This window comes from Homo sapiens, chromosome 13 (assembly GCF_000001405.40).
Source record: "Homo sapiens chromosome 13, GRCh38.p14 Primary Assembly".
Taxonomy (NCBI): domain Eukaryota; kingdom Metazoa; phylum Chordata; class Mammalia; order Primates; family Hominidae; genus Homo; species Homo sapiens.
This window is the reverse complement of record NC_000013.11, coordinates 110,807,712-110,820,591: the sequence shown is the minus strand read 5'-3', so window position 1 is coordinate 110,820,591 and position 12,880 is coordinate 110,807,712. Positions and strand designations below refer to the sequence as shown.

Genomic DNA, 12,880 nt, shown 5'->3' with positions numbered 1-12,880 from the left:
GCGAGGCAGTCCTTAAGTTCCCTGTGTCCACAGAGTCTGCTTGACAACGCCATCAGACACCTGAAAGTCATCCCCACGGTAACAGTCAGCCGGCAGCAGCTGGATTAGCGGCCCATCACCAACAGCCAACACACCTGCTGGCACTGGGGACACATCAGTGCCTCCCAACCCACAGGACGCTTTTTGAAAAAAAAAAACCTTAAGCATTTATGTACTGAAAGCTATTTTCAAGAGATATTATAGGAAAACACGGGCATAAATAAAGTTATATTGTATATTGGAATCTGGTTGAGATAATAAGTTTTAGATATGTGGTAATTTTCTACTAAACCCAAAAAAGAAAAATGGAAAGCCACGTAGCTAACAAGAAATATGTTGTGTTTATAAATACAAGTATATAGGCTGCAAGTAAACACAATAAATTTACTTGTAAATTTACAAGTACTTCACATATCATATAAAAGCAAATATAGACATTGTATTTCAGGAAATGCCAGTAAATAGAAAGCAAGCCACAATATGAAATGAATTAGAATAAATTTATATAAGATTCATACTGACAAGGCAAATGCATTACTAAAAATTCTTACAAAATATGGAGCAAAAAAATAAATTTGGATGAGTCTTTACAAAGGTATCCACAATACATGTAAAGAAAAACATAGTCCAATAAAAACGAAACAATATAGAACACAAGAATTCATTTGAAATAATTACAATGCCAGGTAACAGAAATGTCACTAAATATTTAATACCTGGTGAGCAGTAGGGAAAAAGTAAGTTCTGCTTGAACCTAGTAGCAATGTCGCCATTGCTTTAGGATCACACCTCTGGATGGTATTCAGTTCAAATCTTAAACTTTGTAGGAAAATCTCAGGTTCTGTGTCCAATCGGCTGTGACCTACGGCCGAGGCTGAGGCTGGAGCCTTTGCCCGGGTGCCTGATGATGCTGCCCAACACCAGCAGGGGGCAGTGTTGCCACCCACATGCCAGGGAACTCATGTCCCCAAAGAAAGCCATCGGAGGCAGGGACGTTCCAGGACATATTTTTGAGAAAATAACACGTATGGTACCTAAAACAACATCAAACCTCAGTTCATTTGTGAACTATGCTTGGGGGAGCCACCAATAACTCCACAGCAGCATTCAAGTCAAACCACAGCGCCTCCCAAGCATTGGGGAGCATGGGGGTCTCTGGAACCTGCACCTGCCTCCAACCGGTCAATCCGCAGAGCAGCCCTCTCCTCCCTGCGTCAGCGGCGGCACCAGTGCCATTGGTGAAGGCTTGCAGTGGACTGTGCCAACCCACCCACCAGCAATGCGTCTGGCCCTTCATAGAATCGAAGACTCCCATTCAGCTAAGAGAGATCAAGATTGTCCCCCAAACTAGAAAGCTGCTCTCAACACAGAGTTTTCATTTCGTACCTGTCAAAAGAGCAGTTTTTACTTATTTAGACATAGGTTTTTATTGATATCACTCCTTTGTATACTTAACTAGGAAAATAAGGCAAAAACAATTGGTCTCGATTCCTCTGTGCTTCTTCAGGGTACGTCTGTCTTCCCAGTCACCGCTCCAAGCAGGACTGCATGGTTGGCCTCCTTGTGCCACATCCTTTCCTGTGGCCTCAGGGGCCTGAATTGGGGGCGTTGTGAGGGTCCCCACCAACGTCTGCCAGCGGCTTCTGTCCCACAAGTTTCTATGCAGACAAGGAGACAATGCAGCCAGGCGTGTCCTGAATCCAGAGGTGGTAAAATGGGGACAAACAGGCCTCTTAGAGCTGGGAACACGTGGTGTGTGGCATCTGTAAATACATGGGTATGCAAATGTACACTATGTATGCATATATTTATTAGATATTTTATATATAATAAAATATATATTAAAGATAAAAGACATTAAAATGCTAGCAGTGTTGTCTGGTGGGGGCAGTCGAGGTGATGTAGTAACTGCTTCTTTTTTCCTTTATTTCCCCGTGTTTCACTGTTTTCTACGCAGAGCTTACATTTCTTTTTGAGTAAGATTACTTTAAGGAAACAACAATAACAAAGTAAAAACACCTACTGTAGAGTCAATACAATTTCATCTAAATCACAGATTTCTTTTCTTATGGACCTTGAAAAGCTGATTCTGAAATTTATATGGAAATAAATGAAGGACCAGGTACAGCCAGGACCCTTGTTCTTCAGGAAGGACATGGTTGGGGCTGTGCCCTCTCAAAGCTCAAGACAACTCCAAAAGCGAAGTCTTTAGAACAAGCAGCTTGGCAAGACCACGAACACACGGGCAGTGCCGCAGAGCAGGCCAAGCCCACTCTCACCCAGAAAACAGACCTCCGTTAAAACAGGTCTGCCGTGTTTAATAATGGCATATGCATAAGTGTGTAAACAGCAAATAAACACTACTCAATAAGCAGTACTGAGGCAATGCACTAAACAAAGGAAAATGAGATTCGATCCCTACTTCACATTATATTTTAAAAAATCAATTCCACATGGATTAAAGACTTCGATGTGAAAAAAAAAAGCCATTATGAACCTCTTACACGATGAGGTAGAGGTTATCTCCTAAACCTCAGAGCAGGGAGGGCTCTTAATACACTCATACATACACACAATCATGAAAATAACCAATAAGCTAAGCTATGTTAAAATTGAGAACTTCTACTCATCAAAGGACACCATCCCACCAAGAGATTAAAAAGACGAGCCAGGAAGTAGAAAAGAATGCCTGGGCATGTACCTGACAAAACATTCATATCCAGCAGATGTGGAGAATTCATATCAGTCAACAAGGTAAAAGACAAACAACCTAATAGAAAAGTGCTCAAAAATCCCCACCAGACAATTCACAGAAAAGGAAACAATAAGCTACCATTTTATACTTAAAAATCAGGCGACAGCGAATGCTGGCAGAAATGTGAATGTAGCAAAAAAGGGACTCGTTTTCAATTCTGGGGAAGGTGGAAACTCGGGTGACCACTTTGGAAAGAACTGGGTGTCATCTGGTAGATGTGAGCATGTCCGTTCCATGGCCCATAATAGCCCTTCTTTGTTGTATGCCTGGAAAAATTCTGGCCCTTATGTAATAGGGATGTTTAGAAGAATGTTCACACCAGCATTGTTTGTAATAGTAAAAATATGTAAGCAACACAAACATCTCCATCAGTAGTAAGCTGGATAAATAGATTGTGGTCTGTTCTGTGTTAGAACACTCTATAGCAGTGACACAGAATGAAACAAAGCCACTTGAATTCACATGATGTATCTTGAGCAAAGAGAAGTCATAGAAGACTACGTAATGTAAGATGCCATTTGTGTAAGGTTCACAAACAACAAAACCGAGCAGGACGTTTCTCCACTGAGACACACATAGTGGAAAACACACAGGAAAAGCACAGGAATTGTTGCATACCCTGCAGGTGGTGCCTCCTGTGCAGGGGCAGGTCAGGGTGCCCACAGGTAGGGGCATGTCACCCGGGGGTGCATATGCAGGTGTTTGTCCTTATTCTTTTTCCTTAAACAGATATGCAAATTTTATGTACTCTTTTATATGTATAATCTATTTCCAACATAAGGGGAACAATAATAAAACATTTAGTAAGAATTATGTATTATTTTTCTTTAGTGTTGATCCTTGAGGAAACATTTGCTGTACAAGAAGAGGAAGAAGAGGCTGATGAAGACTACTTTTAAGGGGATTAATTGGTATCCTTGAGGGCTTTTGGGTCTGGTGTCACTGGTTGCTATTTTTATCTTTTCCAAGCCTATGGTCTTATTTTCCTTGCTACACCTTAGTAATGACTGTGGACTTTGGGGCATGTGGTTGTGGGAAGCAGCAAGAGGGGGAGCTGCCAGCCAGGCCACTGGCAGGGACTCTCATGGGACCTGCCAAGCCTGTAAGGGCCTCCTCACAGTGCCACAGAAGCCTCGGTTCTTGTAGAGGGACCACTGCCATCAGTGTTGTCCAGCCTCAGCCCCACCTCCACCCAACTCACACCCAGCAAGCAAACTCCAATCCCACGGCAATGATCATTTGGCCCTGCGTATAGCTTTGCCTTTAAAGAAGGAGCAGGGGAGCCCCGGCCGCTTCTGTCCTGTCCAGTTGGTTACAGTTCTTGCTGTAAATTAATACTCACTTCAGATTCTTGTGAGTTCTTTTAGCAGCCATTCTTAGGTGCTTGATCAATTATTCTATATTATCTACTGACTTCCTGGGCCTACAAAATTGAAGCCAGACCCTGAAATGTGGCAATACCACCCTGTCAAGGCAAACATCACAGTGGGAACATCACAGTGGGAACAGTTGTCGCAGGTGACAACTGGCCTTCCTCCCTGCCTTTCCAAGGGGTTGTTGGAAGGAGCTGCTGCAACATTTCCATTCTGCAGATGAGAGAACTGAGGCGGCAGGGAGGTTGGGTAAATTGATCAAGGCCTTTCAAGCTGGAAGTGGCCACACAGACTGGTTTCAAAGTCAACATCAGAGTGAATGGCAGATGATGGGGCCCCTGCTGTTCGTGTACCAGGAGTGTCTGTGAATCAGAGCTTTGTGGCTTGGGGAGTGAGCCTGCCACACATTTTTGGTGAATTTGACGGTGGAAATGTTCCAGCATAGACCCATCTTGTTTTTGCATCATTCCCCCTCCTGCCTTGATTAGAAGATGCCCAGCTGGTCCAAAGGCCCCATGACCGCTGCTTCTGGGAAGCTATTTAGTCACTTCCCACAGCAATATTTGTTCCTTAAGCAAATAGAAATGTATCCATTTACACGTTTGTGACCACAGGGAAAGGCACCTGGCGCTCAGGAATAAAGCTCCACCCTCTCTTTTCACCAACAAGGACACAGAAGGGTTACGAGGCCATGAAATGCACTTGCCATTCCTTCCTTCACACTGTTCTGAAAAGCCTTCTTAACCGTAACCTACCCTACAGGCCTCTCAAAAGGAATCGATGGAAAGTCCCTTGCAGGACGTGAGATATTGACTAATGTTGCAAAAACACACCTACTTCTGAAAGAATTATCTGGTTACCAGAAGACTTTCCCTTCTGGAAATTCTCCAAGGCTGTCCGGCCCCAGGGCGGGGGTGAATCGTAAAGTACCAAGGAGCCCAAAGCCTTAGAGCACCTGGCTCAGTGGTTAAAGAAGGAAAGATGCAGATGACAGGTTTGAGGCTGGGAAAAAGAGGGAAAAATTAAAAAAAAAAAAAAAAAAACCGCAGAGGCCGGAAAGATCAGATACCTAGGAGCAGCTGACAGAAAAGAAAGCTTCAGATGTGAGCAGCAGGAGGGCAGATGCTACGGCAAGGAAGCCCCTTCTCAGACACAAAGCCCTCCACAAAACGATCCTCTAGGTGGACTTTCTTCTGCAAACATTACCCCATCCCCAATTAGAAGGATTCAGAGAATTGAATTAAGGGTTTTGAGCATATTAACACATTGAATATTTGGAAGGAAAACTAATAAAAGCTGTCTCTTACTATATTACCCATCATGGAATGGAATGCATATACACCACTGTAATAGCAGGTTCTCTAGAAGGAAACACAAACAAAAAACCAGAACCAACAGGATATGTGTATATGTATATATAGAGAGATTACTTTTAAGGAATTGGCTCAGGTGACTATGGAGGCTGGTAAATTTGAAATCTGCAGGGTGGGCCAGCAGGCTGGAGACCCCAGGAAGACCGTGTCTGCAGCCCCTGCTTGCTCAGGGAGGTCAGTCTCTGTTCCATTCAGGTCTTCAGCTGACCCGGGGAGGCCCACCTACTAGCAAGGGCCATCTGCTTTACTCAAAGTGCACGGGTTTAAATGTTCATCTCATCCAAAAACATCCTCACAGGGACATCCAGAATGAGGTTTGACTTCACGTCTGGGCCCAGCCACATGGACACATAAAATTAAGCATCGCAACCATGTAGACGCTACAGCTGTGACCGCTGTTGGTGGATTTAGTGTGCGCCAGCGTCATCTAAGCTTCATGAGGACGGGGATTTTTCTTTTTCTTCACTGCTATGTTTCCAGTGCCTAGCACTTAATAAATAAAATAAAATAAAATAATAAAATAAAAACACTGTTGACCACATGACTGTGTTGCTGTTGTTTGGGATTAGTGTGTGCGGCTGTGCATGCATTCATTTGGGAATTGGTCCCTCTGCTGGACAGACACTAAGGTGGCACCAGGGTCCCCACCTCCTAGTGTGTTCATATCTTGCTGAAATCCTCTCTCCTTGATGTGGGGGGATCTGTGACTTGCTTCTGATCCACAGAATATGGTAGAGGGATAGCACGTCTCTCCCATGATCCAGGTACATTCCCTGGCCTCCACCCACAGCTCACTTGCTCTAGAGCCTCCCTGCTGGCTGATGACGTAAGTGGCCGCACTGGAAACTTCCGCGTGGAGAGAAACTGAGGGCAGCCACGGACCTGGACCTGGGGCCCTCAGAGAGAAAGTGAACTCGGCCAACAGCCTGTGGGAACTTCCGAAGAGGTGGATTCTTTTCCAGGCCGTCCTCGGATCCTCCGCGTAAGAATACAGCGCGGCCAACACTTGATCCCGCCTAGTGAGGGCCCGGGCAGCGCCCCCAGCACGCGTGTCCCGGAACCCTGAGATAACGCACGTGTGTGGCTCCAAGCTGCTCAGCTCCGAACACAGCTGCTGAAAAGGGACGCAGCCCCCATGCAGCCGTGCGTGTCGGAGTGGGAAGACGGCCGGCTGGGGGAAGAGCCTGAGGAAGAAGATCCGTGTCTGAGGCCTGGGTCTGCCAGTCCGCGTCGCCTTGGGCAGTTCCCCGGCGGATTTCTCTGAGCCTGTTTCCTCACCTGCAAAACAGCCCATCCCTGAAGCCTTTCTCTGTTCTGCGACTCTTTTATTCCAGAGGCGGGAAAGTTTGGAAGGAAAGCAAAGGTCAAAAAGAAACCCTGGAGGGTTGAAGGTCAAGCTGCCAAGAGGGGCGGTAGTGTGAGGGGGACGTCGTGAGGGGGACGTCGTGAGAGGGGTGTCCTGAGGGGGACGTCGTGAGGGGGGAGCGTGGTGACGGGGACGTCGTGAGGGGGGCGTCGTGAGAAGGACGTTGTCAGTGGAGGCGTGGTGAGGGGGGGTCAGGAGAGGGACGTCGTGAGGGGGGCGCATTGTGAGGGGGCCGCGTCATGAGGGGGATGTGTCGTGAGGGAGGCGCGACGTGAGGAGGGCACGTAGTGAGGAAGGCGTCGTGAGGGGGACTTTGTGAGGGGGAGCATCGTGAGGGGGACTTCCTGAAGGAGGTGCATCGTGACGGGGGCGTCGTGACGGGGATGTCGTGAGGAGGGCGCGTGGTAACGGGGGCATCGTGAGGGGAGCGCGTCGTGTGGAGGGCGTCGTGACGGGGACGTCGTGAGGAGGGCACGTCGTGAGGAAGGCGTCGTGAGGGGGAGGTCGTGAGGGGGACGTGACGAAGGGGGCGCGTCGTGACGGGGGCGTCGTGAGGGGGATGTCGTGAGGAGGGCGCGTGGTAACGGGGGCATCGTGAGGGGAGCGCGTCGTGTGGAGGGCGTCGTGACGGGGACGTCGTGAGGGGCGCGCTGTGAGGCGAGTCTCTGCCCCCTCCCCCTGGAGCTCCCGCTCCTCAGCTGCCCCCCGCCGTCAGGGGCTCTTCCTGTCAGTGCCTCATGGGCCCTGCATTCGCCTCCCCCAGGCAGCGCGGTCCTCCTGGGGGAGTCAGCCTGTCTCGCCTGAGCCCGAAGGCCGCCTCCCCTTCTGCCACAGCCCCCTTTGGCTCCCGGCTCTGGAGATCTGCCCTCCAGTGGATCTGTCTGAAACCGCCCTCCCTTAGCCGGGCGGGAGGCAGCAAGCGCGCGCGCTGCGGGCAGGAGCGGTTTCTGCAGGAGGGACCCTGCCCGAGCTAAACACCGAGAAGACGGCAGGAGGCAGAAGGCGAGATGGGGGAAAGGAAGATAATCTGGAAAGTTCCACTGCAGGAAAGACAGTCCCGGTGGCCAGCTGGCCTCTCAGAGGCCCCTTAGTAAGCCGAGGACCCGAACCCTTACGGAAATGTAATTGAGACAAGCCCGAAGCAGAGCGGAACGAAACAGAACAGAGGAGACGCGGGCACAGGAGAGCGCAGAGGGAGCTCTGGGCGCTTAAGGAATGGAGACTGCAGCGGGCCAGCGGGGGCTAAGTCCCGGGGTCGCAGATGCCTGTGTGCGGGGGCAGGTGCTTGCGTGCGGGGCCTGCCCCAGCCCCTGCCTGGCAGAAAGCCCCAGAATCCAGGGGCCTCTGCCCAGAGGAGGTCTCGTCATGTGTCAAAGGACCAGGGCGAGGGCGCTGGGCTTCCCTGGGCTTCGCCGAAGGCCCTGGCACTCACACTGCGGGCCTGGCCGTGGAGGGAAGGGCTCGGGGAGTAAGTGCACGCTCCTGGCACTGTCATGCGTGCAGTGGCCCCGGCACCCGTGAGTGTGTCGGCCAGGCAGTGGGGCGGCAGGGAGCACGTTTGCGGCCCTGGCTTCAACCGACCTGGGCTTCAATTCCGAGTTCCACCGCTTTGGAGCTCTGTGGCCATGGATAATGGCTCAACCTTCCCGAATGATTTTTTTTTTCATCTGCAACCATGGAGAAAATTATAACAGCCACATGAAAGGATTGTTGAGGGGATGCAGTGAGTTCTTTCAAAGCACTAAGTAAACATCCTACACAGTTCTCAGGCCCCGGCTAAATGGGGAAAGCCCCTTGAGGATGGGGCCGTGTTAGCAGGTTACTCTCAGTCCTCAGCACTTCCGCATCCATTATTTCTCTTAATGAATTAATATCTGTGAGGCGTGTGTTATAAATAATATTCCCTAACTGGATTTAAAAGGGGAGCTTCCTGGGAATTTCAGGCTCTTTAAGGAGTGTGGCCCTTGTCACCCTGGGGACCAGGGCCACTGCGGCCAGAGGTGTCAGCCAGGGTGAGGACCTCTTCCTTTTCTTTGAGAGCAGGACTAAATTAACAAGCTGAAGCCAGCTTACCTTGGATGTGGATCATTCTGGCAGTGTTCAACTTTGAGACAAGGAAGTGTGTGACATTATTGTCAGCGGAGAGAGGCCCCAGGCAGAAGGTCACTTCCTGAGGTGTCTGGGGAGCACTGCGGCAAGAGACCCCCATTTCCCAGCAAATGCTTCCTTACTCAATCTTTCGGCTACCTGGACTTTACTACCACATCTACAGAGCCATCATTGGCTTCTAATGATGAGCCTGAGGCACCGGGGCGCCTTCTGAATCATCAGAGCCAGATGAAATTGTGTGTTATTGAGACGTGCTGTTCCCATCTTTGCAAAGAGGCCATGGATGCATGCAATGAAAGCTTTTGCTGAGCCGAATACGCTGTTAGCACGACCGTCTCCCCACTGACGTATTGCACCAGACAAACACCAGACGTCAAGGTCATTGGGAAAGCACCAACATATTCAGCCAGGCAGTGTGGGGATGCACCCCCAGTCCCGAGATGAAAACCTCCAGCCAGCCCAGCGCTTCCCAGCAGGGAGCACAGAACACCATGAAGCCTCAAGATGTTGCTTTCCTAAAACAGACCAGCGTGGTTCATGGATTTGGGGCTCTAAGTGCCCCCCATTTCCCTTCTCCTAGACCTCGTCCCCAGCATCGCGACGCTATTGGGGCTGGAGCACCCAGCTGGGAGGTTAAACTTTCCTAACCTGGGCTCAACCTTGGTTTCGTCTCTCAGTCTTAATTTTGCTTCAGCCTGGTCTGTCTTGCTGGTTTATGCTGTCATCTAACACAGGGCCAGCAATGAAGATGCTTAGTAAAAGCTGTTGAAAGGATAAATTTAAAGGTTTTAATTGTTTTATTTTACTATTTTATTTATTTTTTTCATTTCTTGAATATATAACATGCACTGGCATGCCCCTCTATTCCTCCAGCACTTACTTCTACCATTCAGAGATGAGCACGCTTACCAGTTTCTTGGCAATGCAAGTATTATATAATGCATTATCTGCATAAATATATGTCATATATACACATACATACGTGTATACACATATACAATATATTATATGAGTGACAGTATCCTAAACATACCTCACATTGTTTTTGTTTGTTGTTCTTTTTTTTTTCTTTTTACTTCTTCACATTAGTTTTTTTAACTTTCTATATTGGAAATTGTTTCATTTCAGCACATATAGCGCATCCTCACTCTTTGAAATGGCTTCATAGCATTTTATTGTATGGCAGTACAAATATTTGTTGAACCATCCCCACTAACAGACATTAAATTATTTCCGTTATCTTGCTTTGACAAATACCACCGTGCTCAGTGCACTTGTGCAGGAGTCGTTCTGCACCCTTGGGGTAGATCCATAGGCTAAACACCTAGAGTTGCTGGGTTGAAGACGTCATGCGTATTAAATTTTGTTAGCTGTCGTCAAAGAACCTTCCATGGAAATTTTACCTGTTTACAGTTCCAGCAGCAAAGATAAACTGCGCATTTCCCCCCACCCCCCCGCCCCAACCATCTTTACAAATACAGTGTGGGAACAAACTTTATTTGTACTATTCCTTGCCAATCTGATAAGCAAACAAAATTGTATTTCAGTGTTGTTTTAGTTTGCGTTCTTATTGTAAGGAGTTTGAGCACCAAGGAACTGGTTATGTATGTGTGTACAGTTTTCAGGTACTTTTTAAATTAAGTTACTGTCCTTTTTAAATATTGATTTTTAGGAATCAATATTTAAAACACACAACACAATTAACTGTTTTGGCCGTTTTCCTTTGATGTGAAGTACATGAATTTTTCCTAATTTATTATCATTTAATTTTGTTTCTGGTGATGTTTGCCATTCAGGAATATCTTAGTTTGAGGGGTGGGGAGTTGATCAAATTTCTCAATCTTTTCTTTTCTGGCTTAAAGATTTTGTGTCAGAATTAAAAAGGTCCTTTCTGAATCAGAGATTATTTAATAATTCTCCCAGTTTTTTCTGTTACTTTTAAGGTTTCATTTTTTTCATGTGTAAATTTTCCATCCATACGAAATTTACTTTGTAAATGTGAGTGGTTGGAATCCAGCTTTCTCTTTCAGATGATAATACACTTCTCCCACTGATTTCAAATGCCACTTTATTACGTAATAATATGGCATCTATTTTCTGGACTTCCTAGGTAGTTCCATCCCTCTATTCATGAACTAATGCCACATTATAATATGTTTTAATACATGGGAAACTTTATTGTTTTATTTTTCAGTATTTTCCTGGGTTTTCTTGATTGCTTAATATCTATACTACTATTTTAAATAATTTTCTATTTTCAAAAATTATATACTCACATAGTTCAAAATAAAAATAAATCAAAATGAGAGCCAATGAAATAAATCTCCCAGTCATTCCCCCAGTCATCCTATTTCCTTCCCAGGGAGCAGCCAATGGACTCCATTTCTCCTGCATCTTTCCAGAGACAGTTCATGTAAATCTCATATGTATGTGTCTTATAAAGTTTATAATTGGTTTTTCTCATTTTAAAAAATCCTCAACACTTCTCGTATTTTAAATGGGATCAAGCTTAACTTATAAATAAACTACAGAGAAGTGATTTCTGTATGATGAGGTAGATTCCTACCCGTGAACATACTATGGTTTTCCACTTGTTTTATCCTCTTCTTTATCTTGAAGTACTTTGAAGTAGTAGTAATATCCTGCAGTATTCCGAGTAGTTGTTGTTATTATAAAAGTTGTCCTTTATTCCATCAGATCTTCTGTTTGTAGTTGGCATAAATGGTTGTTAATTTTTGCCTATTAATTACACATATAATACATGAGATCCTACCCACCTTATTAAATTCTCTCAATTGCATGAAATTCTAATTAAAACAAGCTGCCGTTCTAGGACTCTGATGCCTTCTGTGTAGGGTGGCAGGAACGAATAAACAAGGAATGATTACATCTTGGAAAATACAGCACTTTACTGGCAGTCATATTCTGAGAACAACATACCACACAAACCAGGAGACCCCCAGGGACCCCCTGAGATCAAGCCCTCTCTGGCACACATAGCCCACTGCCCACTGTATCATAAGATTTGGTTTTTGCAGTTTGACCATGGTGTGTTTAGATTTCTTCTTATTGAGGCTGCTTAGGTTTTGTGGAGTTTCTTCAGACCTGCAGTGATTATATATAGCAAGGTTTGAGAAGAAACAGAAATGGATACTCTGAGTCATTTTGGAAAAGCTTACCAGGATCCTCAAGTTCTTTCCCTAGAAAGGTCTTGAAAAATCAATATAAATTCTTGACCACGTTTTTGGGTTACTTCCAACTGGAAAATCAGGTACTTTTTCTGGGCTCTACCAATGCTTCGCTTATTTTATGGCAATTTTTTTTTTTTTGTCTCTCCATCTGAACCTGTGCCAAGCCACCAGGCACCACTGCTCTCCAATGTCCACTTAACGAATCCCCCGCAGCTTGGACAATATTCCACAACCATTTCTTGGAAAGTGTATCATGACTTCTGCCTAAAAGTAACTTTTTATGTGGTGAAAACTTAAGCATATGGTTTGTCATTGGCACAGCTTTCCTTGGTCATGGTCTAATGCAGACCAAACTGGAAATAACCAAAGTTAGTGATTCTATTTGGTCATCCTCAAATGCTCAAGTGAATGAGGTCTTTTAGTGACAAAACTGCCAATGGAGGTAACAGCTACTCGCACATCCTTGACCAACACAGGATCCTCTCTCCCTGGCACCATCATCCTCATTGGCTTGTTCTCAGCTTCAGGAGATACTTTAGTAGCAGAAGAGGAGGGGGACCAGTCAAGCCAGGGGCAGGGCATGGGTTGGCAAATGGAGTTGAACAACTTGGGCTGTCTGTGTATGGACAATGGCCTCTCCCAGCCACATGTTCACAGCCCCCACCTGCCTGGGC

The 12,880-nt window shown here is 46.4% G+C and overlaps 2 long non-coding RNA genes across 2 annotated transcripts, besides 4 other annotated features; one reads left to right on the top strand and one right to left on the bottom strand.

The window, feature by feature from the left end:
- Positions 1-525: 525 nt before the first annotated feature.
- LOC105370362 (uncharacterized) lies at positions 526-6,887 on the bottom strand. The gene is made up of 2 exons (NR_158538.1): positions 6,819-6,887; positions 526-1,802 (listed from the first exon to the last, which is right to left on the bottom strand). It is a non-coding gene; the product is annotated as an uncharacterized LOC105370362 (long non-coding RNA).
- Positions 866-935: a silencer, noted in NCBI's record as "silent region_5518". NCBI's record gives its function as "represses an Ori minimal core promoter by ATAC-STARR-seq in GM12878 lymphoblastoid cells {active_cell/tissue: GM12878}" and the evidence as "EXISTENCE:reporter gene assay evidence [ECO:0000049][PMID:35858748]".
- Positions 4,226-4,749: an enhancer, noted in NCBI's record as "NANOG hESC enhancer chr13:111468190-111468713 (GRCh37/hg19 assembly coordinates)". NCBI's record gives its function as "activates a minimal SCP1, AML or CMV promoter by ChIP-STARR-seq in naive and primed H9 embryonic stem cells {active_cell/tissue: H9 hESC(naive and primed)}" and the evidence as "EXISTENCE:reporter gene assay evidence [ECO:0000049][PMID:30033119]".
- Positions 6,888-7,507: 620 nt separating the features above from the next.
- Positions 7,508-10,916, top strand: LINC00567 (long intergenic non-protein coding RNA 567). The gene has a single exon (NR_135280.1). It is a non-coding gene; the product is annotated as a long intergenic non-protein coding RNA 567 (long non-coding RNA).
- Positions 7,823-8,364: an enhancer, noted in NCBI's record as "H3K27ac-H3K4me1 hESC enhancer chr13:111464575-111465116 (GRCh37/hg19 assembly coordinates)". NCBI's record gives its function as "activates a minimal SCP1, AML or CMV promoter by ChIP-STARR-seq in naive and primed H9 embryonic stem cells {active_cell/tissue: H9 hESC(naive and primed)}" and the evidence as "EXISTENCE:reporter gene assay evidence [ECO:0000049][PMID:30033119]".
- Positions 8,365-8,906: an enhancer, noted in NCBI's record as "H3K27ac-H3K4me1 hESC enhancer chr13:111464033-111464574 (GRCh37/hg19 assembly coordinates)". NCBI's record gives its function as "activates a minimal SCP1, AML or CMV promoter by ChIP-STARR-seq in naive H9 embryonic stem cells {active_cell/tissue: H9 hESC(naive)}" and the evidence as "EXISTENCE:reporter gene assay evidence [ECO:0000049][PMID:30033119]".
- Positions 10,917-12,880: the final 1,964 nt, after the last annotated feature.